This window comes from Homo sapiens, chromosome 7 (genome assembly GCF_000001405.40).
Source record: "Homo sapiens chromosome 7, GRCh38.p14 Primary Assembly".
NCBI lineage: Eukaryota > Metazoa > Chordata > Mammalia > Primates > Hominidae > Homo > Homo sapiens.
Genome location: NC_000007.14, coordinates 101611683 through 101632283, shown reverse-complemented (window position 1 = coordinate 101632283; position 20601 = coordinate 101611683). Strand labels below are relative to the sequence as shown.

The window sequence follows — 20601 nt, the reverse complement described above, 5'->3', positions numbered from 1 at the left end:
TGTGCTGGAAGCTTCCTGCCCTCGAACATCAGACTCCAAGTTCTTCAGCTTTTGAACTCTTGAACTTAAACCAGTGGTTTGCCAGGAGCTCTTGGGCCTTCGGCCACAGACTGAAGGCAGCACTGTTGGCTTCCTTTTGTTTTTGTTGTTTTTTGTTTTTTGTGTTTTCTTTTGAGACACAGTCTCACTCTGTTACCCAGGCTAGAGTGCAGTGGTGCTATCTCAGCTCACTGCAACTTCCACCTCCCAGGTTCAAGCGATTCTCCTGCCTCGGCCTCCCGAGTAGCTGGGATTACAGACGCACACCACCACGCCTGGCTAATTTTTGTACTTTTAGTAGAGACAGCGTTTTGCCGTGTTGTCCAGGCTGGTCTTGACCTCCTGAACTCAGGTGATCCACCCACTTTGGCCTCCTAAAGTTCTGAGATTACAGGCGGGAGCCACCACGGCCGTCCGAGAGGTGTTCTAAAGCAGGCTGGAGACTGATTGTGATGAGTAGGGAAACATACAATGTGGCCAAAGGCTTGGAGGAAGGAGATTTCGGGAAGAATTTGCAGAACAGCCAAGGTCAGGGTGATGGCTGGCCAGGGAAGGGGTCAAGGGCTGTGGGGCTGGGGGACAGGGACAGCCTGCTGACCCTGAGGAGTTATAGGTGAGAGGTTAGGGGTGAGGGTTGAAAGGGGAAGGCATCTCCCCGGCTTGTTCCAGTGTTGTCTGGGGAACAGCTGTCCCCCTGCCAGGCAGCTGGGCTCGTTCCAAGCTCCCTTCCTGGCTTGGCCACTCCCAGGACCTCAGTTACCTCTGGAAACCGAGAGTGCTAAGTATTCTCTGACTCAACCCCAGGCAGACCTGGAATTCCAGTTCCAGAGGACACTTACTCTCCAGGGTCCCCTGGCTGGGAGCAGAGACCTCTCAGAGTGTCTCTGACCCCAAGAACTGGCCCTGGCCCTGTGGTCAGTTGAGTCAAACAGTGTGACCCAGCCACGACAACTGACTCATTGCAGTGTCACCTGGGTGAGGGGGCTGCAGCTTGGAGAGGCTGCAAGTTCTGTCAAGGACTCCATCTACACAGGGGGAAAGGGGGACAGGGGAAGGCTCTGCCCTCCAAACCCCAGGCCGATGACCCCAAAGCCCACCTCCTTCCAATGGCACTAAGCTTCCCGATGGCAGCCTCAAGGGGTCCTGGCTGCTGGCACCATTTCTCAGATGGGGAAAACTGAGGGTCCCACTGTGGGTGCAGAACTCACGGCTCCCCCTTCTCAAGGCCACTGCACCCTCACACTTCCCGCCCCCCAGGAACAAACATCTCCCAACCATCTCACCCCGGGGTTTTCACGTCTCTACCAGATTTCTCACCGGTTCTTCCTGCCTCCGGTCCTATGAAGGAGGAGGCCAGGGGAGGAAATCCACTCAGACTAATTTGTAAGCCCGGTGTGATTCACCAGCGCCGCTTCCCCTCCTCCGGGCAGGCGGGGGGGCTCTCCGCTTGCTCAGGCCTGTCCCCGGCCTTTGGGAGCCCCTGCCACGGTCCTGGGCGTGCTCCCCGGAGGCAAGAGCCCTTGCTTGCAGAGGCCTCAGGGCAGCAGGAAGCCAGAGGCAGGAAGCAGGAGTTATAGGTCTGCTACCCACTCTGTAAGCCCAGAGCCAGGAGGCCCCAGGGCCAGGCTCACAGACCGGGCATGGAAAGCCTGCACCCTAGCCACTGTCGCGGTCACACAGGCCCCCTTCTGTAGCAGGTCCAGGCGGCTGGGACTGGAATCCAGGCTCCCGTCCCCAGAGCTGGGTTCTCCTTTCCGCCTGGCTTGTTGAACACCTGTGGAACGTGTGGTTTTTCTCCCCGGAGAGGAACGCCAGGACACCAGGAGAGCAGCCCTGTCGGGGAAACTGAGGCACACGGTTTCCTGCTGCAGAAAGCGGGCTGCACAGCATCATGGCTGGACCTGGCCCCAGCTCTGGGAGGAGCACTCAGTCACAGGAGTTTAGGGACATCAGAAATAGCTGTAGTCAGGGATGACTGGGAGGGAGCAGGAGGAGGGGAGAGTTTGGATGAGCAGAACCTTTTGGAAGCTTCCTTCTGGAAACACTAGAAAGAGGGGCTCTTGTCCTGGCCCTCCCTCTCTCTCTCTCTTTTTTTTTTTTTTTTTTTTTGTTTTAGAAATGAGACCTTGATCTGTTGTCCAGGCTGGAGTGCAGTGGTGCAATCACAGCTCATTGAAGCCTCAACCTCCTGGGCTCATGTGATCCTCCCACCTCAGCCTCCTAAGTAGCTGGGCCTGCAGGCATGTGCCACTGATACAGGAGGGGGGACAGGGAAGTGCTGAGAGGAGAAAGGCAGGGTCCCTGGCAAGGGCTCCACCCTTGGGCCTGTGCCCACGGACCTAGGTGAGGACAGGCACTCCTGTTTATATGCCCAAATGTCACATTTTCCAAGACCACCCTGGCCCACCACGCCCCCCGCCCCCCCGCCCATCCTGTGCCTATGAAAACCCTGAGACCCCAGTGGGTACACACACAGGTGGCTGGACATCAAGAGGAGCAGAGGATCGGAAGAGCACACCGACAGCACTGGCAGATGCTGGCAGGCCATCGACTGGCTGAATAACACAAATGCCCAGGGGAATTTGGCTGGGGATGGTCAGAGGAGAGTCTGGCTGCTGAGCACCTTGACTTCAGGGGAAAAATCACCTTCCCACTCCATCCCCCTTCTGGCTCCCCATCATCTGCTGAGAGCTACTTCCACCACTCAATAAAACCTCGCACTCATTCTCCAAGCCCACATGTGATTCAATTTTCACAGTACACCAAGGCAAGAACCCCAGGATACAAAAAGCCCTTTGTCCTTGCAATAAGGCAGAGGGTCTAACTGAGCTGATGAACACAAGCCACCTACAGATGGCAAAAGTAAAAGAGCATCCTGTAACACACGCCCACTGGGGCTTCAGGAGCTGTAAGCATCCACCCCTAGACACTGCCGTGGGGTCGGAGCCCCATAGCCTGCCTGTCTGCATGGTCCGCCTAGAGGTTTGAGCAGCTGGGCATGGAAGAAGCGAGCCACACCCCCATCGCATGCCCTATGAACGGGATAAGGGAACTTTTTCACTTCACCACTATGCCTGACTAATTTTTTAATTAAAAAAAATTTTTTTGTAGAAACAGAGTTTCACCATGTTGCTTAGGCTGGTCTCAAACTCCTGGCCTCAAGTGATCCTCCCTCCTCGGCCTCCCAAAGTGCTGGGATTACAGGTATGAGCCACTGTGCCTGGCCTCTGGCCCCACTTCTTATCTGCCTTGGGTGAGTGACTTAACCCATGCGTGCCTCAGTTTCCTCATCTGGAAAATGGGATATGGATTGAATGTGAGGACACGTGTTTTAAGACATGGCCTGACCTTCTGTGTTGTATATTAGCTGCTCTTCTTATTATTATTATGATATTCCCTTCCCCAAAGGCAGGGGATCAGCTGTACCCGGGGCTGAAGGCCTGAGGCCAGCTCCAGGGACAGTTAAGCTCTCCAGCCCCTGGGGACCCGTGGGCTCACTGCCTGAACCCAGCACTGCCGGCCCTGGCAGCTGTTCAGATATGGCGGGCCCCAGATGGACAGTGGCAGCCTCTGAGGCCGAGCTGGGGCTGCTGGGGCTGCACTAGACACAGGAGGGGCTTTCCAGGGCAGGTGTGGGCTCTGTTTGGCAGATCTACTAGAGAATTCTTGGGCTGGGCCAGGCCTGGTGGGGATGGATGTGTGTGTGTGAGGCCAGGGTGGAATGGAGGTCTCATTTTTCAGTTCTTCCTCATCAGAGTCACCTCCAGTTTTCTGTTTTCTTTTTTTTAAGAGACAATATCTCACTCTGTCGCCCAGGCTGGAGTGCAGTGGCACAATCATAGATCACTGCAGCCTCAAACTCCTGGACTCAAGCAATCCTCCTGCCTCAGCCTCCTGAGTAGGTGGGACTACAAGAGCACACCACCATGCTCGGCTAATTTTTTTGATATTTTGTAGAGATAGGGGTCTCACTATGTTGCCCAGGCTGGTCTTGAACTCCTGGCCTGAAGCGATCCTTCCCTCTTGGCCTCCGAAAGCTCTGGGATTACAGGCGTGAGCCACTGCGCCCACCCCATTTTTCTTTTATTTGTCCTGTTGCTTTCTCTGTTCATTGAGCATTTCAGTGCCCTGAGGGGGTCCCCTGGCCTGGGGGTGCTTAATGGACACCCTGATAATAGGCATATTGGTAGAAGGGGCCCCCGAGGGCCAGGTTGGTGCAGAAACTCTCTCCATAAGCAGACCGGGGGTTTCATACACTCCCCCCTATTCCTATGAGATGGCTGAGCCTCCTAGAGGGTGATGTCCCACCCAGAGTCCCACAGCTCCAGAGGTCCGGCCACACTGCAGTCTGAGTGGGTCCCAGCCAGCATGGGTGGCCCCACCCTGGGCAACACTCCCTGACGGCTCAAGGCCAAGTCTTCCCATTGGGGTAGGCAGCCTCAACTTACTCTGTGTCCTTGGCCAAATGCCCCTTCCTGGGTCTTGGTCCCTTGGCTCTAGAGAAAACAGTTGGCCCAGGGCTCTCGGAGATCCTGGAGGCTTAGGCAGTCCCTGCGTCCGTGGTATTTGCCCACGGATTCCCCCCAACCCTATCCACTCTGAATGGCCCAAGGCAGGTGCCTGGCAGGGAGGTCTCCGTCCTGTCATGGATCACCTTCCACACTGGGCCCGGTGCATGCCAGGGGCCCTGGGAGGACCACTATTTAAGGGCCATCTCTGAGCTATCCCCAGGCCAACTGCAGCTTCAGGGAGCTCTCCAGACCATGGTAGGCTGGGGTTGTTCTGCTCTGCCACGGCTACCTTCCTCTCACCTCCACCTCCTCCCTGGGGAGCTCAGGCCTGTGGCTGTTGTGTCTTTGGCTTCAGCACTGCGGTCCCCTCCCTCCCACCCCTGCCCCTGCCCCTGCCCCTGCCCCTGACCTCACTCCGCAATTCCTTTTCTTTTTTAGACAGAATCTCACTCTGTTGCCCAGGTTGGAGTGCGGTGGCTCGATCTCGGCTCACTGCAACCTCCACCTCCTGGCTTCGAGTGAGGTTCCTGTCTCAGCCTCCCGAGTAACTGGGATTACAGGCGCCCGCCACCACACATGGCTATTTTTTTTTTTTTGTATTTTTGGTAGAGACGGGGTTTCACCATGTTGTCCAGGTTGGTCTCGAACTCCTGACCTCAAGTGATTCACCCGCTTCGGCCTCCCAGAGTGCTGGGATTACAGGCGTGAGCCACAGCGCCCGGCCTCATTTCTCAACTTTGACCTTGTTCTGTGACCTTGACTCTGTGTGTGATTCTGACCTTCACCTCCTGCCTGAATTCATCCTGCCTCTCACTGACCTTCCTGACCTTAATCTGATGTTGTCCCTGGTCTGACCTGCTCTTTGCTCTTGATCCCATGCTTGGACCTGCCCCACTCGGGACTCCTCTCCACGTGGGTCCTGATTTGAGCCTCTGCTTTCCTGGACTTTGTGGGGACTGCTGGGGAATGAGGAAGAGGAGGGTGGAGAGAGACGAGGTGGGCAGGGCCTGGGGGCTTCACAGGGGCAGTGGCTCTGAGGGCAGGGGCCCCCTGGGAGGGCCGGGGGTCAGTATTTGGGGCAGCGTGGCACCTCTGGAGCTCCGAGGTCCCCCTGTTCACCTTTGCCTGTGCACCTCATGTGACGCAGGGCTTGCTCTGGGTTCCTGCCCCTGGGGACTCCCTGCGGGGTATCAATCTGGCTGTCCCTCTGTGCCTGTGTCTCACCTGCCTCATTAGTTAGTCCCTCTCGGCACAGAGCTCTGACTTGGCTGTCAGCCTCGGCTTGTCACCTCCTGACTGCCCGAGGGCCTAGGGGCTTCTCTGTCTTGTCTTCTCAGCGCTTGTCCCTCCTCCGAGTCAGCCTCTATGGACTGCCTGTCACCAGCGGGACTGTGATCTTCTTGGGGACCAAGACGGGGCCTGATTCAGCCCTGGGTCCCCAGGACGGACCTGCCTGGAGGTCCGTAGGTGTCTAATACATGTCCTGATGCTTTGAGGTTGACCTGCTCTAGGTTTTATAAATGGGGAAACAGGCTCAGAGAAGACAAGTGAATTTCTTAACATCACGGAGGCTGGGAGCAGCCAAGCCAGGCTTTGAACCCAGATCCGGGTGACCCCCCCTTCTTCCCTGAGATGTTCCTTTCAGGGGAATTTTATTTTTCAGGGGCCCATTCTCAAAAGGAATTTTCAAGACAGCTGGGCTGCAAAGACCCTAGGGTTTAGGACTCTTGTGCTGTAAAGAAAATGATCTCTCCCTCCCTCGTGGAGCTCTGGGACAGTGTAGGGTGGGGGTGTAACCAGGGGGATCATGAGAGGCTGGGGGCGTGGGGGGCAGGGACTGAGGACGCCGAGGCCACAGCCAGGTGTGCCAGAGAAAGGGCAGAACCTCCCACAGACGGAAGTGATCATTTTTTATTAATCGGAGGAAATGTATATGTAATTATGTGGGATGAACTCTGTGGGGAAGTTCTTTTCTTTATGATGTCTGAAAGGATTTATAAATATTACAGAGGTTTTACAGCATCATAACGTCCCGGCCGCCCTGGCAGCCCCCTTTCAAAGGATTAGGAGAGACAGAGCACCCAGTAAAAGCTAATTATAAGTCAGCCGGCGCTTCTGCCCCTGCCCTCGACGACGCGGGCTCCTGGGCGGGGGTGGGGACAGCAGTGAGCTGGGGGCAGGGGAGACCACACAGGCGTTGGGGGAGGGGAGCAGGGGATGAGGGGACTCCTCTGCTCTGGTGGGGGCAGGTAGACAAGGGCTTGGCAGGAGAGGGTGGTACAAGTTGTGACGGAGACAGGAGCTGGTGGTGGGAACCCATTTCTGTGCCATCCCGTCCACCTCCCCGTCTGGAATCCAGCAATTCTTTTCCCCCATCGAGAGCCCATTCTGGGGCTCACAGCGCCCCTGGGGGCTGTAAGGATGGCTGCCCAGGAACAGGACTCTTGAGGGTCTTGGGGACCTAGGGCTTTCAGCAAATGCCCAATGGTGGACTTCCAGACACCCTGACATCACAGAGGCAGGAAGGCTGGCCAGAAACCATCTGACTACTCAACGTGGGTGGCCTCCTGCTTTGCCTGCTGCGTGGGTTGGCCCTGAGTTCTGGGCAGCTATTTCCAAGCACTGGCTGATCCCCACTTTGAGCCAGGTTCAGGGTGGGGATAGGAGAGATCAGAGATGGGGCAAAGTGGGTTTTACCCCTGAGATGTCCACTTAGTCGAGGACACAGACGCACAGATATGTCAGGACAGTGTGATACATGCTGTAGGGGTGACAGTCCACAGTGGAGCCATGTGGGGAGGGGAGAGTGGCCTGGGGTCAGGGAAGGCTTCTCGGAGGAGGTGACAGGGAGCTGAGCCTGCAGGATGGGTAGGAGTCTCTAGATAGATTCTCCAGGGAAGGCATTCCAAGCAGGGAATTCCAACAGAGCAACGCATTCCAGGCAGGGGCAAACGCTGGGAGGGAAGGCAGCTCTGGGACAGAGTAGAGGGCCTGGGTGAGAGGGAGTAGCAGCTCTGGGACAGGGCAAGAGGCAGATCCTGTGGTGGGGCTAAGAGCGCAGTTGTTCTCCTGAGAACACGAAGAAGGTTTTTAGCAGCTGGCGATAAGGTCAGATTCCAGCTGTAGTGGAGGATGCCGGGGTAGAGATGGGGAGGCTGAAGGAAGAGATGCCCGCCTCTGTTCTGCAGCACGGGCACCGGCTGCCCACCTTCCGGAGCCCGGGGGACAGGGCCAGGAAGCAGCTGTCCAGCTCTGTGGGGGTGCACGCCGTGCAGGCTTCTTGCCATGGGCTGGGAAAACGTCCTGATTACCTGCAAGGCTTCAGGGGTAGCCTTGTCTGTCTGCTGTAGGCACCGGGAAGGGCAAAGCGGTGTCATTCTGGACCGTGATGCCCTGGGAGGTGAGACAGGGGGTGGGGGCTGACCCTCGAGGCAGGGGCCGCTGCAAGGCCTTGTCTGCTACCTCGCAGGCACCGAGAAGAGCTCGGAAAAGAGCAGAAGGCACCGCCAGCTCCAACGTCTTCTCCATGTTTGATCAGTCCCAGATCCAGGAGTTTAAAGAGGTTGGTCTGCTGCCCCATGGGGCTGTTATGAGGATTCTTGGAATGCATGCCAGTTGCTCAAGGAGCTGGGCAGAGGCTCAGTCCTCAGTCTCGAGGGGCTGAAGATGTCATTATTACTATTATTATTATTATTATTTGTTTGTTTGACAGAGTCTGGCTCTGTCGCCCAGGCTGGAGCGCAATGGCATGATCTCGGCTCACTGCAACCTCTGCCTCACGGGTTCAAGCAATTCTCCTGCCTCAGCCTCCCAAGTAGGTGGGATTGCAGGCACGCACCACCATGCCCAGCTAATTTTTTGAATTTTTAGTAGAGATGGGGTTTTGCCATGTTGGCCAGGCTGGTCTGGAACTCCTGACCTCAGGTGATCCACCCGCCTCGGCCTCCCAAAGTGCTGGGATTACAGACGTGAGCCACAGTGCCCAGCGCCCATTACTACATTTTTAAATGATTAGGTTTTTTTTTTTTTTTTTTTTTTTGAGACAGGGTCTTGCTCTGTTACCCAGGCTGGAGTACAGTGTTGCAGTCAATGCTCCCTGCAGCCTCAAATTCCTGGGCTCAAGCCATCCTCCCACCTCAGCCTCCTGAGTAGCTGAAACTACAGGCATTCATCACCATGCCTGGCTAATTTTTTAATGTTTTGTAGAGACAGGGTCTCATTATTTCGCCCAGGCTTGTCTCAAACTCCTGACCTCAAGCAATCCTCCTGCCTCTGCCTCCCAAATTGCTGGGACTGCAGGCATGAGCCACCAAGCCTGGCCAATGACATTATTTTTTGAGGCCACCATGGCCATGGCCCAGAGCCTGGGTGAGTGACCTGTTGCCCTCAGGCAGCCTCTTTGTCTCTCTGTACCTGACCCTGTGCTTGCTGTGTGACCTCGGGCCAGACTTTTCTCTCTCTGAGCCTCAGTTTCCCTGTCTGCAAACTGGAGTTGCTGTGAGCCTGAAATGAGGGGTTGGGGATGGAGCCCATCCCAGCTGGGCTGCCAGAGGGACCTGCCCCGAGGCTCCTTGGGCAGCAGTCGGCAGGAGGACGGTCCCTGGGGGAGGTGGCCGGGCTTGGAAGGGCAGGTGACTACTTAGCACCTGTGTCTCTGCCAGGCTTTCACCATCATGGACCAGAACCGTGATGGCTTCATCGACAAAGAGGACTTGAGGGACACCTTTGCCGCGCTGGGTGGGTGAGCCAGCAGCCGGGGGAGATTAGGGCCAGGCCAGCCAGACAGAGTGGGCGGTTGGGGCCAGCAGGGCAGGGCTCGCGGTGAGCGTGAGAGGCTCCTGTGCTGGGGAGCACAGGGTAAAGGCAGCCACTGTCTGGAAAGTCAGGGGGGGACCTTCCTGGGGGGTTGGAGAAGGATTCGGCCAGGGAAGGGGAAAACACTTCAGGGACAGGAGTAGCAGCATGGGCCTGGGCCTGGGCCTGGGCCTGGTGTAGGGGACCCTGGGTGTGGGGAGGGGCCAGGAAAGCAGGGGAGAAGCTGAGTCAGAGGGAAAGACCCAACTCCCAGGTTGAGGTTTCTGATCCCTCTAAGGCCCCAGGGAAGAGCCTGAAGTCGCCTATGCAGGGTTTAGGTGGCAGAACGGACGTAACCAGGCCCTGATCCCCTGGGAATCTGAGTGTCCCCTGGAACCACAGGGAATCCCAGCATCCAGGCATCCACTGATCCCCTCCTGGGGCACAGGAACCCTGAGCCTGCAGCCCCCGTGCACCTCAGCTGCAGCTTCTTGGGCCTCAGTTTCTTCACCGTAAAATGGGGATGAGAGTGACTTGCTCCCTTCTCATGAGGCTGGGGGCAGCCGGAAGCTGACTGTGGCCCAAATGCCCCCTAAAGAGTCCCCCAAAAAGGCGTCAGGGCCTTAGGGCTGAGTGGGGGGCACGTGGAGCAGCTGAGTGGGGAGGCTTTGTGGGATCCTCCGAGGCCCAAGCTCTGATCTCTCTTATCCTCCCTGCCCCCACCTCTCACCTCCCACAGGCCGCATCAATGTCAAGAACGAGGAACTGGAGGCCATGGTGAAGGAGGCCCCCGGACCCATCAACTTCACGGTGTTCCTGACCATGTTTGGGGAGAAGCTGAAGGGTGAGCCAGGCTCCTGGAGTCCTGGAGGGGCAGCAGGGAATGGCAGGGGGACGGATGTAGGAAGGCAGGGGCCTGACACACATACACACCACAGGTGGGAGCATGATGTGGCCCCAGACACCAGCCCCCAGGTGCACGCACCTTCAGGGGCCCTGCCTCGGTTTCCCTCTCTTCACCGCAGACTGGGGTAACTATAAAGACCCCTGCCTTGGCCAGGCATGGTGGCTCACGCCTGTAATCCCAGCACTTAGGGAGACTGAGGCGGGCGGTTTGCTTGAGTCCAGGAGTTTGAGACCAGCCTGGGTGATATAATGAAACTTCATCTCTACTAATACAAAAATTAGCCAGACATGGTGACACATGCCTGTAGTCCCAGCTACTTTGGAGGCTGAGGTGGGAGGATCACTTGAGCCTGGGAGGTGAAGGTTGCAGTGAGCCGAGATCGCACCACTGCACTCCAGCCTGGGTGACAGAGCAAGGCCCTGTCTCAACAACAACAACAACCATAAAAACTAAACACTGCCTTTAACCCCTTTGCCCACCCATCCCACTGCCCCCAGCCATGCTGCCTCCCTACCTTCCTACCTGTGAGCTCCTTTTACCCGCTCTGCACATGGGGCTGGGGGTATAGGCAGAGGGTGCCGGAGGGAGGGTGTTTCCAAAAGATGCTGTGGTCGACCCCTGTGCAGGGCAAGTTACTCCCCTTGTCTTTTTCTGTGGTCACTGGAGCCCCCAGAGGAAGGATCGGGGAGCCTCATTCACAAATGAAGAGACTCAGATCCAGAGGAGTCACGACCCCTGCCCCAGATGCTCCAGCAAAAAGTGGCCGGGATGCAACCTCAACCCCAAACCCTGGCTCTAACCACTGTACCCGCCCGAGACACAGCATTAGGCATGGGGTGGAGGGTTGGAGCCATCTGTGTCTCCTTTCTGTCCTGGCCTCGGGGGAGCTCTCCCATAGTGACATCCTGGAGCTTGAGGGTTCCGTGGTCAGAAGGAAGGGCCAAGGCCGGGCACGGTGGCTCATGCCTGTAATCCCAGCACTCTGGGAGGCGGAGGTGGGTGGATCACCTGAGGTCAGGAGGTCAAGACCACCCTGACTAACATGGCGAAACACTGTCTCTATTAAAAATACAAAAATTAGCTGGGCATGGTGGTGGGTGCCCGTAATCCCAGCTGCTCGGGAGGCTGAGGCAGGAGAATCGCTTGAACCTGGGAGGCAGAGGTTGCCGTGAGCCGAGATGGTGCCATTGCACTCCAGCCTGGGTGACAGAGACAGACTCCACTACAAAAAAAAAAAGAAAAAAAAAAAAAAAAGGAAGGGTCAGCCCAGGCAGTGGTCCCTGGGAAGTGAGCACTGTCAGCTCTGCACCCTCAGGCTGCCCCTGCCAGGCCCCCTCCCTTGAACCCCCTGCCTTGGCTAGGCCTAGGGTCAGACCCTGGCTTCCCATTGACTCCTAGGTTGACCTTGCACAGATTTATCTGCTTTCTGGCCTCAGTTTTTTGGTCTGTAAAATGGGCTTATAATAGTTTTCTGAGCCCGCTGTAACAAATTCTGTGAAACCAGGTGGCTCAAAACAACAGACATGTATTCTCTCACAGTCCTGAAGCCCAGAAGTGCGAAATCTGGCAGAGGATTTGGGGAGAATCCGTTGTCTCTCCCAGCCTCTGGTGGCTCTACCTCTCCCATCTCAGCCTCGCCGTCAATGGCCCCGCCCTCTTCTATTTAACCTCCCTCCACCTGCCTCTTTGTTTATTTTGTTTTGTTTTTGAGATGGAGTCTCACTCTGTTGCCCAGGCTGGAGTATAATGGCGCCATCTCAGCTTAGGACAACCTCCGCCTCCAAGGTTCAAGCGATTCTCACGCTTCAGCCTCCCAAGAAGCTGGGATTACAGGCACCCGCCACCATGCCCCGCTAAATTTTTTTGTATTTTTAGTAGAGATACCGTTTCACTACATTGGCCAGGCTGGTCTCGAACTCCTGACCTCAAGTGATCCGCCCATATCCGCCTCCCAAACTGCTGGGATTATAGGCATGAGCCCTCGCGCCTGGACTCTACCTGCCGTTGGATTCAGGTCCTACTGGGATAATCTAAGATGATCTCTGCATCTCAAGATGCTTAACTTACATCTGCAAAGTCCTTTTTTCCAAATAAGGTGACATTTGCAGGCTCTGGTGGACATATCTTTTTTTTTTTTTTTTTTGAGACGGAGTCTTGCTCTGTCACCCAGGCTGGAGTGCAGTGGTGTGATCTTGGCTTACTGCAAGCTATGCCTCCCGGGTTCACGCCATTCTCCTGCCTTAGGTTCCCAAGTAACTGGGGCTACAGGTGCCTGCCACCACGCTCGTCTAATTTTTTTGTATTTTTAGTGGAGATGGGGTTTCACTGTGTTAGCCAGGATGGTCTCGATCTCCTGACCTCGTGATCCGCCTTCCTCGGCCTCCCAAAGTGCTGGGATTACAGGCGTAAGCCACCGTGCCCGGCCTCTGGTGGACGTCTCTTTTTAGGGGCCACCATTCAGTCCACCACAGGGTGATCCGACCTGACATCACAGGTTTGATGGGGTGAAAAATCAGTACTGTCATGGGTCGTGACCTGCTGTGGGGTAGAGCAGCCTCCACGCACCGTGTCCTGGCAGATCCAGAGCCAGAAGGAAGGCAGCCATCAGCCTGGGTGCGAGAGATGAGGAAACCCAGGGCTGGGGAGGGCAGGCTCATCTGGAGCAGGCTTTGAACTTGGGGCTGTGTAGCCGAATCAGGAGCATCACTGGGCCCACCTCCAGGCAGCTTGTCGGGGCCTATTCCCAGGACCATGTGCGCCTCCTGGAAGAGCTCAGAAGCCCAGGAGGCCGGGAGAGAAGAATGCTCTGTGGAAAAGACATGTGTGACTCCAGCCAGCAACTTCAAAGGAAGCAGACAGGCCTGATTCTTTTATCCACAGGCACATAACTGAAGGAGGCGTGTTAAAGGCCAGTGGGAGGGCCTGGGGAAGTGGCCTGTGGTTCTGCCAGGGTGGACGGCCCAGGGCCGGGCCCAGGAGGTGAGGCTGTGAGCACCTCCCGCCCCTGGTGTTGGGCATGGGCGAGGGGCCCTGCTGCCAGAGCAGGAGTTTAGAGAGACCTCCAAGAGTGCTCAGGGGAAGGGGAGGGGACTCTGTCAGCTCACAGTGGGCCCCAAACCTGTTTCGCAGATGGGAAGATTGAGACTAAAAGCTCGTGTCGGTCCATGGTTGAGCTGAAGCTGTGATCCAGGGCCTGGTGTGGGCTGCAGGGCTGCAGCTTTTTCTCATTTTTGCAGGGGCGCCGGGACTGGGGCTCCGGCTGAGCCTGTCATGCAGACGTGGCCAGACTGCGTGAGAGGCTGGTGGGAGGGGACAGGAGCCGGGAGGGCAGGGTGCTGGGGCCGGCGCCGCCTCACCCCGCTAATTGGGAAGAGGAGACTGTGTCATGAGATTCCCAACGATGATGGGAGGAAGTGGCCACTCTATAGCAGATTTTATGAGGTTTGCAGTCTCAAGAACAGAGGCTCTTTCTGGGGAGGAGAGAAGGGAGGACTGCCAGCCACGGTAACAGGGAGTGGCAGGGCTGCGCTGGGTGCCTAAATCCATGTGCATTGTCCGCAGGGGGATAGGCTGGAGCCGGCCACAAACCTGCCTCAGCAGTGAGGCCTCTTCAAAGACGTTGGGAATTTTCAACTAATCAGTGAAACCTGGGAGGCTGTGGCCTCGGAGGCAAATCCCACATGGGTGCCCCACGTGATGCTCTGGTCACTCAACCCTCACCCGCCTAGAGGCACCTGCTACCCCCTGCCTGCTTGGCCAGGCTGTGAGGGCCTGGAGCCCTGCCCTCGCTGCACCCTGGGCTGAGCCTCTCTGCTGGGCACACCAGCTCCCTGCCACCCTGCCCAGAGGCAGTCCATGGCGCTGCCCTCTAGGAGTTCCCAGGCCAGCAAGGCCAGTGTGTGCCAGGTTTTTTCACTCTGTGCCAGTTTCAGAGATGCCCAGAGACTCAGACACTGCCCAGTCCTGGCTAGTTCCTAGTCCGATGGGGGAGGCACAGATGGCCCTGACCCAGTCTGATGGGAGAGGCACAGATGACCTTGATCTGGTGTGATGGGGGAGGAACAGATGGCCCTGACCCAGTCTAATGGGGGAGGAACAGATGAGGCCCTGATCTAATCTGAGGGGGGAAGCACACTTGGCTCTGACCCAGTCTGATGGAAGAGGCACAGAAGGCCCTGATCCAGTCTGATGGAAGAGGCACAGATGGCCCTGACCCAGTCTGATCGGGGAGACACAGATGGCCCTGATCCAGTTTGATGGGAGAGGCACAGATGACCCTGACCCAGTCTGATGGGGGAGGCACAGATGAGGCCCTGATCTAATCTGATGGAGGAAGCACAGATGGCCCTGACCCAGTCTGATGCAGGAGGAACAGATGGCGATGACCCACTCTAATGGGGGAGGCACAGATGGTCCTGACTTAGTATGATGGTGGAGGAACAAATGGCCCTGACCTAGTCTGATGAGGGAGGCACATGGCCCTGGCTGACCTAATCTGACTGGCAAGAGCACAGGGTGACAAAAGGAGCAGGGGACTCTGGAGTCCACAGAGGTGGGTTTAAATCCTCCCTTCTCTTATCAGTGGGGACTTGGGCAAGTAATGAAACATCTCTGAGCCTGTTTTTTCTATGATAAACCAAGATATCCACATCTACTCCATGGGTGCTCTCAGAGCTCCAGGGGATAAAATCTTAAAGCTGCAGGCATAGAGCGCTCAGATGTATTTGCAGCCCTGATCAACCCATGTTCGTTAAAACCTTACCATGAATGGTATGTTATCTTAGCTGCTCCTGTGAGGTGGGTAGCAAGCACCATCTCTGTCCCCTTTCACCAATGACACATTTGAGCACTGAAGAAAGGAAGGGGGCACCCCCGCATCCACAGTGAACAAGGGGGACATGGTGACAGAAGGGGAAAGGGCACCGGGCGAGGGTGGCCAGGTCACCTGCTGTCATTCACGCAGCCCGTGAAGCCTTGGGCAAGACCCTTCCTCTCTCTGGGCTTCAGTTTCCCATTGGTGCAATGTGGGGGCTGCACATTCAATCCCATTGTGGGTATCAGATTAATTTCTTCTAATGACATCTCTCCCCAAGGCTGTGCTGTGACCGGGATAAAAGCAGAACTTCTCTGGCTTCACTTCTGCCCCCGTGAATCCCTTCCCTTGGCCTGTTGGCCCACCTGCCCCACTTCTGGCCGGGACAATCTCTCTCAGACCCCTCCAATGCCACACTGCCCAAGCCCCAGCCTTTTGGCATCCACGTACAGAACTCTTTTTCCTCCACCCACGGCCTCTTGTGCACAGCTTGGGTAACACGTGAGCCCCAGAGTCATGCCCCCTCACCCAGACCACTGGTCATGCAGCTGTGAGACCCTGGGCAAGTCACTTAACTTCTCTGGGTCTCAGCTTTTCCATCTGTAAAATAGGGAAGGGCTAAGCACAAATTAAATGCTCAATCAGGGTCTCCGTGTACAGTTGCTCAGGTTGTTCACAAAATATATATATGTGGTACCCTTGTCTATGATTACAATTACCTGTTTCCCTCCTTGTTCTTGCTTCAAGTGAGCTCGGCCCTCGCTGTGCAGTGAAAGTTGGGGAAGAAGTTCCCCAGAGCTGTGCCTCTGTGCAGGGGCCGTGGGACTTGCCCCCAGCCCCAGCCCCTGCCCAGCCTTGTGCCTGTCCCTGTGGGGCCCTCTTCACCTGCCTCTCTCCCTGCCCTGTATGTGCTGCTTATAGGCACGGACCCAGAGGAGACCATTCTCCACGCCTTCAAAGTGTTCGACACTGAAGGGAAAGGTTTCGTCAAGGCCGATGTGTAAGTTTCCCCTGACTCCCCCAAAATGCTCAGGGGAATAAGCCAGCTTTGGGCTGGGGTCAGGGTGGATGGTCGCCCAGTCTCCTCTCCCAGAAGCCAGGAGCTGGGGGGCCGCTGCCCAGCCCAGTGATATCGCTTGATGTCCCTTCCCCTCTCTGGGCCTTGGTGTCCCCTTCTCTATGTGTGCGTGGAAGTAGAAATGGATAAGAAATGGTGGGTCAGGCTGGGCGCGGTGGCTCACGCCTGTAATCTCAGCACTTTGGGAAGCCGAGGTGGGCAGATCACTTGAGACCAGGAGTTTGAGACCACCCTGGCCAACACAGCAAAACCCCATCTCTACTGAAAATAATAAAAAAAATTAGCCAGGCATGGTGGTGCATGCCTGTAGTCCCAGCTACTCTGGTGGCTGAGGCAGGAGAATCGCTCGAACCCAGGAAGTGGAGGTTGCAGTGAGCCGAGATCACGCCATTGCACTCCAGACTGGGCGACAGAGTGAGACTGTCTCAAAAAAAAAAAAAAAAAGAAGAAGTGGTGGGTCACTCCAGGAGAGCTTCCTAGTGGGGTGGGTGTGGGGGCAAAGGCAGATCTTGAAGAATGACTGCAGGTTGCCCAGGCTAGGGGGGGAACAGCATTCTAGATGAGGGAACAGAGAGCTTGGAGGGCCAGGGCTTGGCATGTGCATGTTTGTTCAGAGTTGGCTGCAGCTGGAGGGTGCGGGTGGAGGTGGTGTAGGGGAGACTGAGCACAGAGCGGCAGGCGGGGCCTCTGGGGGAGCGCTCACACCCTAGCCCCTGGACCCTGCGTCTGCCCTGGGAGCATGGGAGAACCTGAGGAGGAGTTAGGCAAGGACACCATGGAGGCCAGCCTGGAGAAGGAGAGGAGAGGGTTGCAGCTCCCAGGAGGGTCATGGCCGTCGAGATGGAGTCGGGCGGACAGATAAGCAAAGAGCCAGGGGCCAGTGCCCATAGGATCCAGGGTCTGGGGAGAGGACTGAGCCAGATCGTAGCCAGCACCGCCTCGGGCAAGAGGGCAGTAAGGATTGGGGAAAGTGACCAGCTCACTTGGAATGCATGAAGGGGAAGTGGCTGCAGGCAGCTGTCTGGCAGGCACCGGGGCTGCCATCATGAGGGTAGGGGTGCCCCACCCAGTGACAGCAAGGGAACAGAGAGCCAAGAATTGCAGGCAGGAGTGGGCGGGGGAGTGGCAGCCTTCCCAGGACCCAAGATTCAGGGCTGACCTCTGAGCTGTGCCGACGCAGTCCCTTCAGAACCTTGCTGGACCTGAGGGTGGCCTGGGGCAGGTGAGATTCCTCCCCAGGCCCAGGCTTCCTGATCAATTACTGTAATGCTGCCAGCCTTCATTTTGAGGCTAGTTTTGCTGGTTTTGAGATTCTCGCATCTCAAAGGGAGAGGGCAGACGCAGCAGGGGTGGAGGTGGAGAGGGTCTGTCCCGTCTCACACATTCTCAACTCCAAGACCATGAGTCACATACTCCCCTGGGATGGGGAGGGGATGCTGAGGGTTGCTGCAGTCCACAGTCCTCCCCTTCACCCCTCCCTCGGGGTCTGTGGCTCCTACCTCCATCCTGGGGACCTGGGGAGGCATCAGAGTCACCCCCGGAGTAACCCCAAGCCCTCCCTCTACTGTCAACCACTTTCTCTCTCACCAGTGCAAGGACAAGGCTGGGAAGACCCTTTGGGGACCTAATTTGGGAACTGAAGGCACTGCCTTGGGACATGGGACCTGGATCTGTGGCTGCAGGCCAGGCAGGCCAGACAGGCCACGGTGGAGGCTCTGGTTGAAACAGAGTCTGTGAAAAGTCCCCGGCTTGGAGAGCTGGAAACTGTGACTGTCCCACAGAAACATAAATAATGGAAAATGTGCATTGGTCCTTAGCGAGGCCTGCCGCAGCCGGTGCCAGAGGACACTCTGGGTGGACGAGGCCCCACTCAGCCGTCTGATCCCATCTTTGCCCACTGAGCTCCCTTAAGAACCCTGCAGGACCCTCCAAGCTTGAGGGGGCAGGCCCTTGCAGGCCCAGGAGGACACGGACCTGGGCAGGCCTTCCTGTACCCTTGGCAGAGCACAGGCATCTTGTCTCTAAAACACTATGCAGGTGTCAGTGAACGTCACAAGCTGGAGGAAAGAGTGTGTCCAGAATCAGGCAAAAGAGGCTCTGCGGTGGGGGACCTGAGGTGTCTCCCCTCAATGATCCAGAGCTTGATTATAGTGCATGATGGGAAATCAGAGTAGCCCTCATGGTGGGGTCCCCAGGTCATTGCTTTTGGTCCCTACCTGATGCTGGGAGGAAAGCCCACTTCATGGAGGAGAAAACCGAGGTTCAGAAGCTACTTGGCCATCGGGGGGGCTGGCAGGGTCAGCCCCAGGTTGATGTCCTCCTGGTCCAGGATGTCCCCCTGCCCCCACTTGCCCCTCATCACCCCTGGGATCTGCATGTTCAAGCTGGGTATCCCGTTCCCTGAACATGACTGTGTCTCTCCCTTGAACAGCATCAAAGAAAAACTTATGACCCAGGCAGACCGCTTCAGTGAGGAGGAGGTAAACTGGGATTCTGGTGGGTCACGGCGGATTCTCTGCTCTGGCCCCCACTTGGCCTGGTGCAGGCTGACTCTCTGCTCCTTCTCAGGTCAAGCAGATGTTTGCAGCATTTCCCCCAGATGTGTGCGGCAACCTGGACTACAGAAACCTGTGCTACGTCATCACTCACGGTGAAGAGAAGGATTAGGGGATCACAAGTCTCCCCGACATTCAGGGGCAGCAAACACTGTTGTGGGGTGTGACAGGGAGCTCTTGCAGCCAGAGGCTGCAGGAAAAAGGCTTCCCTTGTCCTACGGTTGGGGACAAAGCAAGAATAAATAATGCTAATGAGGTCTGAGTTTGTGCGGTAAATGCTCCAGCGAGGGAGAAAACGAAACATTCCTATCTTGTTGGTTTTTCCAAACCTTTTTTGTTCCTCTGGCTCTGCTCAAATGTTCCCGAGGAGCTGGTGTTTAGAGCTAATTGACAGTTTTAACGATTCCCTGCTAAGCCACGGGATATTGCCTTCATTTATGGAGCTTTTATTAAGCACCTAGTGCATGCCAGAGGCTGTGCTGGTCCCAGGGACTCTCAGAGGAGCCAGGACTGTCCCTGGGCAGGATATGGTGCTGACTGCAGTGAGGAAGGCAGAGGAGGGGGCAAAAAGTGGGGTGGGGACATCGGTGGGAGGAGAATGGAGAAGCACGGGAGAAAACTGGCTGCAAAGAGCTGGCTAGAGGTGAAGACGTCAGAAGGGAAGAGGTGGCTTCAAGGGATGTTTAGGGGGTAGGCAAGGATTTCTTAAATGGGACACACATAACTGTGATCATAAAAGTGGATAAGTTGGACTTCATCAAAATTAAAAACTTCTGCTCACCAAAAGATACAGTTAAGAATGCAAAAAGGCACCGGACGAGAAAAGATACTGGCAACGTAGATCATGACAAGATCTCATATCCAGAAGATGTATTTTTTTAAAATCCTACATATCTATAATAGAAAGATTATAACCCCAAAAAAGGTAGACGACAATAATAATATCCAAATGGCCATAAAGATCTGAAAAGAGGCCGGGCACAGTGGCTCAGGCCTGTAGTCCCAGAGCTTTGGGAGGCCGAGGCAGGAGGATTGCTTGACGCCAGGAGTTTGAGACCAGTCCCAGCAACATAGCAAGACCCCATCTCTACAAATAAAAAAAAATTTAAAAATTAGCCTGGCATGGTGGCGCATGCCTATAGTCCCAGCTATTCAGGAGGCTGAGGTGGGAGGATCACTTGAGCCCAGGAGTTGGCGGCTGCAGTGAGCTGTGATCACACCACTGCACTCCAGCCTGGACGACAGCGAGACCCTGTCTGAAAAAATAAATAAATAAATAAATAAATAAAAATAAATGATAGGGCACTCATACATGGGAATACCACATGGCAATAAGAACAAACTACTGATGTACACAACAGTTTGGTTGATTGCTCATATATACTATGTTGTATGGAAAAAGAGGCGAAAGAGTGCATACTTAAAAAAAAACTTTTTTATTGAGATACAATTCACATACCATAAAACCCCCCCCTTCTTTTTTGTTTTTTTTTAGACAGTCTCACTCTGTCACCCAGGCTGGAGTGTAGTGGCGTGATCTCGGTTCACTGCAACCTCCGCCTTCCGGGTTCAAGTGATTCTCCTGCCTCAGCCTCCCAAGTAGCTGGGATTACAGACACGTGCCACCATGCCCGGCCAACATTTGTATTTTTAATAGAGACGGGGTTCTGCCATGTTGGCCAGGCTGGTTTCGAACTCCTGACCTCAGGTGATCCAACCGCCTCGGCCTCCCAAAGTGCTGGGATTACAGGTGTGAGCCACCGCGCCCTGCCTTTTACCACTATTTACAAACAGAATATTAATCACCACAAAATGAAATTCATTAGTGGTCACTCCTTATTCTTCCTGCACTCAGCCCCTGGCAACCATGAAGCTACTACTGCCCGTCTCTATGGATTTGCCTG

General features: G+C 55.8%; 1 protein-coding gene across 2 annotated transcripts, besides 6 other annotated features; it reads left to right on the top strand.

Moving 5' to 3' along the window:
* The first annotated feature begins 2987 nt into the window (after positions 1-2987).
* On the top strand, positions 2988-18954 carry MYL10 (myosin light chain 10). 2 transcript variants are annotated; one of them, NM_138403.5, is made up of 8 exons: positions 2988-3243; positions 8020-8112; positions 8263-8364; positions 9212-9287; positions 10084-10188; positions 15986-16064; positions 18574-18622; positions 18711-18954. In NM_138403.5, the coding sequence occupies exons 1-8, from the start codon at positions 3166-3168 to the stop codon at positions 18807-18809; spliced, it is 681 nt and encodes a 226-aa protein (NP_612412.2). In that variant the 5' UTR covers positions 2988-3165; the 3' UTR covers positions 18810-18954. The 2 variants fall into 2 exon arrangements, with proteins under 2 accessions (NP_612412.2, XP_016868282.1); XM_017012793.2 differs by lacking the exons at positions 2988-3243; positions 8263-8364 and adding an exon at positions 7581-7658.
* Positions 7445-8372: an enhancer, noted in NCBI's record as "H3K27ac-H3K4me1 hESC enhancer chr7:101267192-101268119 (GRCh37/hg19 assembly coordinates)". NCBI's record gives its function as "activates a minimal SCP1, AML or CMV promoter by ChIP-STARR-seq in primed H9 embryonic stem cells {active_cell/tissue: H9 hESC(primed)}" and the evidence as "EXISTENCE:reporter gene assay evidence [ECO:0000049][PMID:30033119]".
* Positions 12372-12911: an enhancer, noted in NCBI's record as "H3K4me1 hESC enhancer chr7:101262653-101263192 (GRCh37/hg19 assembly coordinates)". NCBI's record gives its function as "activates a minimal SCP1, AML or CMV promoter by ChIP-STARR-seq in primed H9 embryonic stem cells {active_cell/tissue: H9 hESC(primed)}" and the evidence as "EXISTENCE:reporter gene assay evidence [ECO:0000049][PMID:30033119]".
* Positions 12912-13451: an enhancer, noted in NCBI's record as "H3K4me1 hESC enhancer chr7:101262113-101262652 (GRCh37/hg19 assembly coordinates)". NCBI's record gives its function as "activates a minimal SCP1, AML or CMV promoter by ChIP-STARR-seq in primed H9 embryonic stem cells {active_cell/tissue: H9 hESC(primed)}" and the evidence as "EXISTENCE:reporter gene assay evidence [ECO:0000049][PMID:30033119]".
* Positions 15565-16492: an enhancer, noted in NCBI's record as "H3K4me1 hESC enhancer chr7:101259072-101259999 (GRCh37/hg19 assembly coordinates)". NCBI's record gives its function as "activates a minimal SCP1, AML or CMV promoter by ChIP-STARR-seq in naive H9 embryonic stem cells {active_cell/tissue: H9 hESC(naive)}" and the evidence as "EXISTENCE:reporter gene assay evidence [ECO:0000049][PMID:30033119]".
* Positions 16493-17421: an enhancer, noted in NCBI's record as "H3K27ac-H3K4me1 hESC enhancer chr7:101258143-101259071 (GRCh37/hg19 assembly coordinates)". NCBI's record gives its function as "activates a minimal SCP1, AML or CMV promoter by ChIP-STARR-seq in naive H9 embryonic stem cells {active_cell/tissue: H9 hESC(naive)}" and the evidence as "EXISTENCE:reporter gene assay evidence [ECO:0000049][PMID:30033119]".
* Positions 17422-18349: an enhancer, noted in NCBI's record as "H3K27ac-H3K4me1 hESC enhancer chr7:101257215-101258142 (GRCh37/hg19 assembly coordinates)". NCBI's record gives its function as "activates a minimal SCP1, AML or CMV promoter by ChIP-STARR-seq in naive H9 embryonic stem cells {active_cell/tissue: H9 hESC(naive)}" and the evidence as "EXISTENCE:reporter gene assay evidence [ECO:0000049][PMID:30033119]".
* Positions 18955-20601: the final 1647 nt, after the last annotated feature.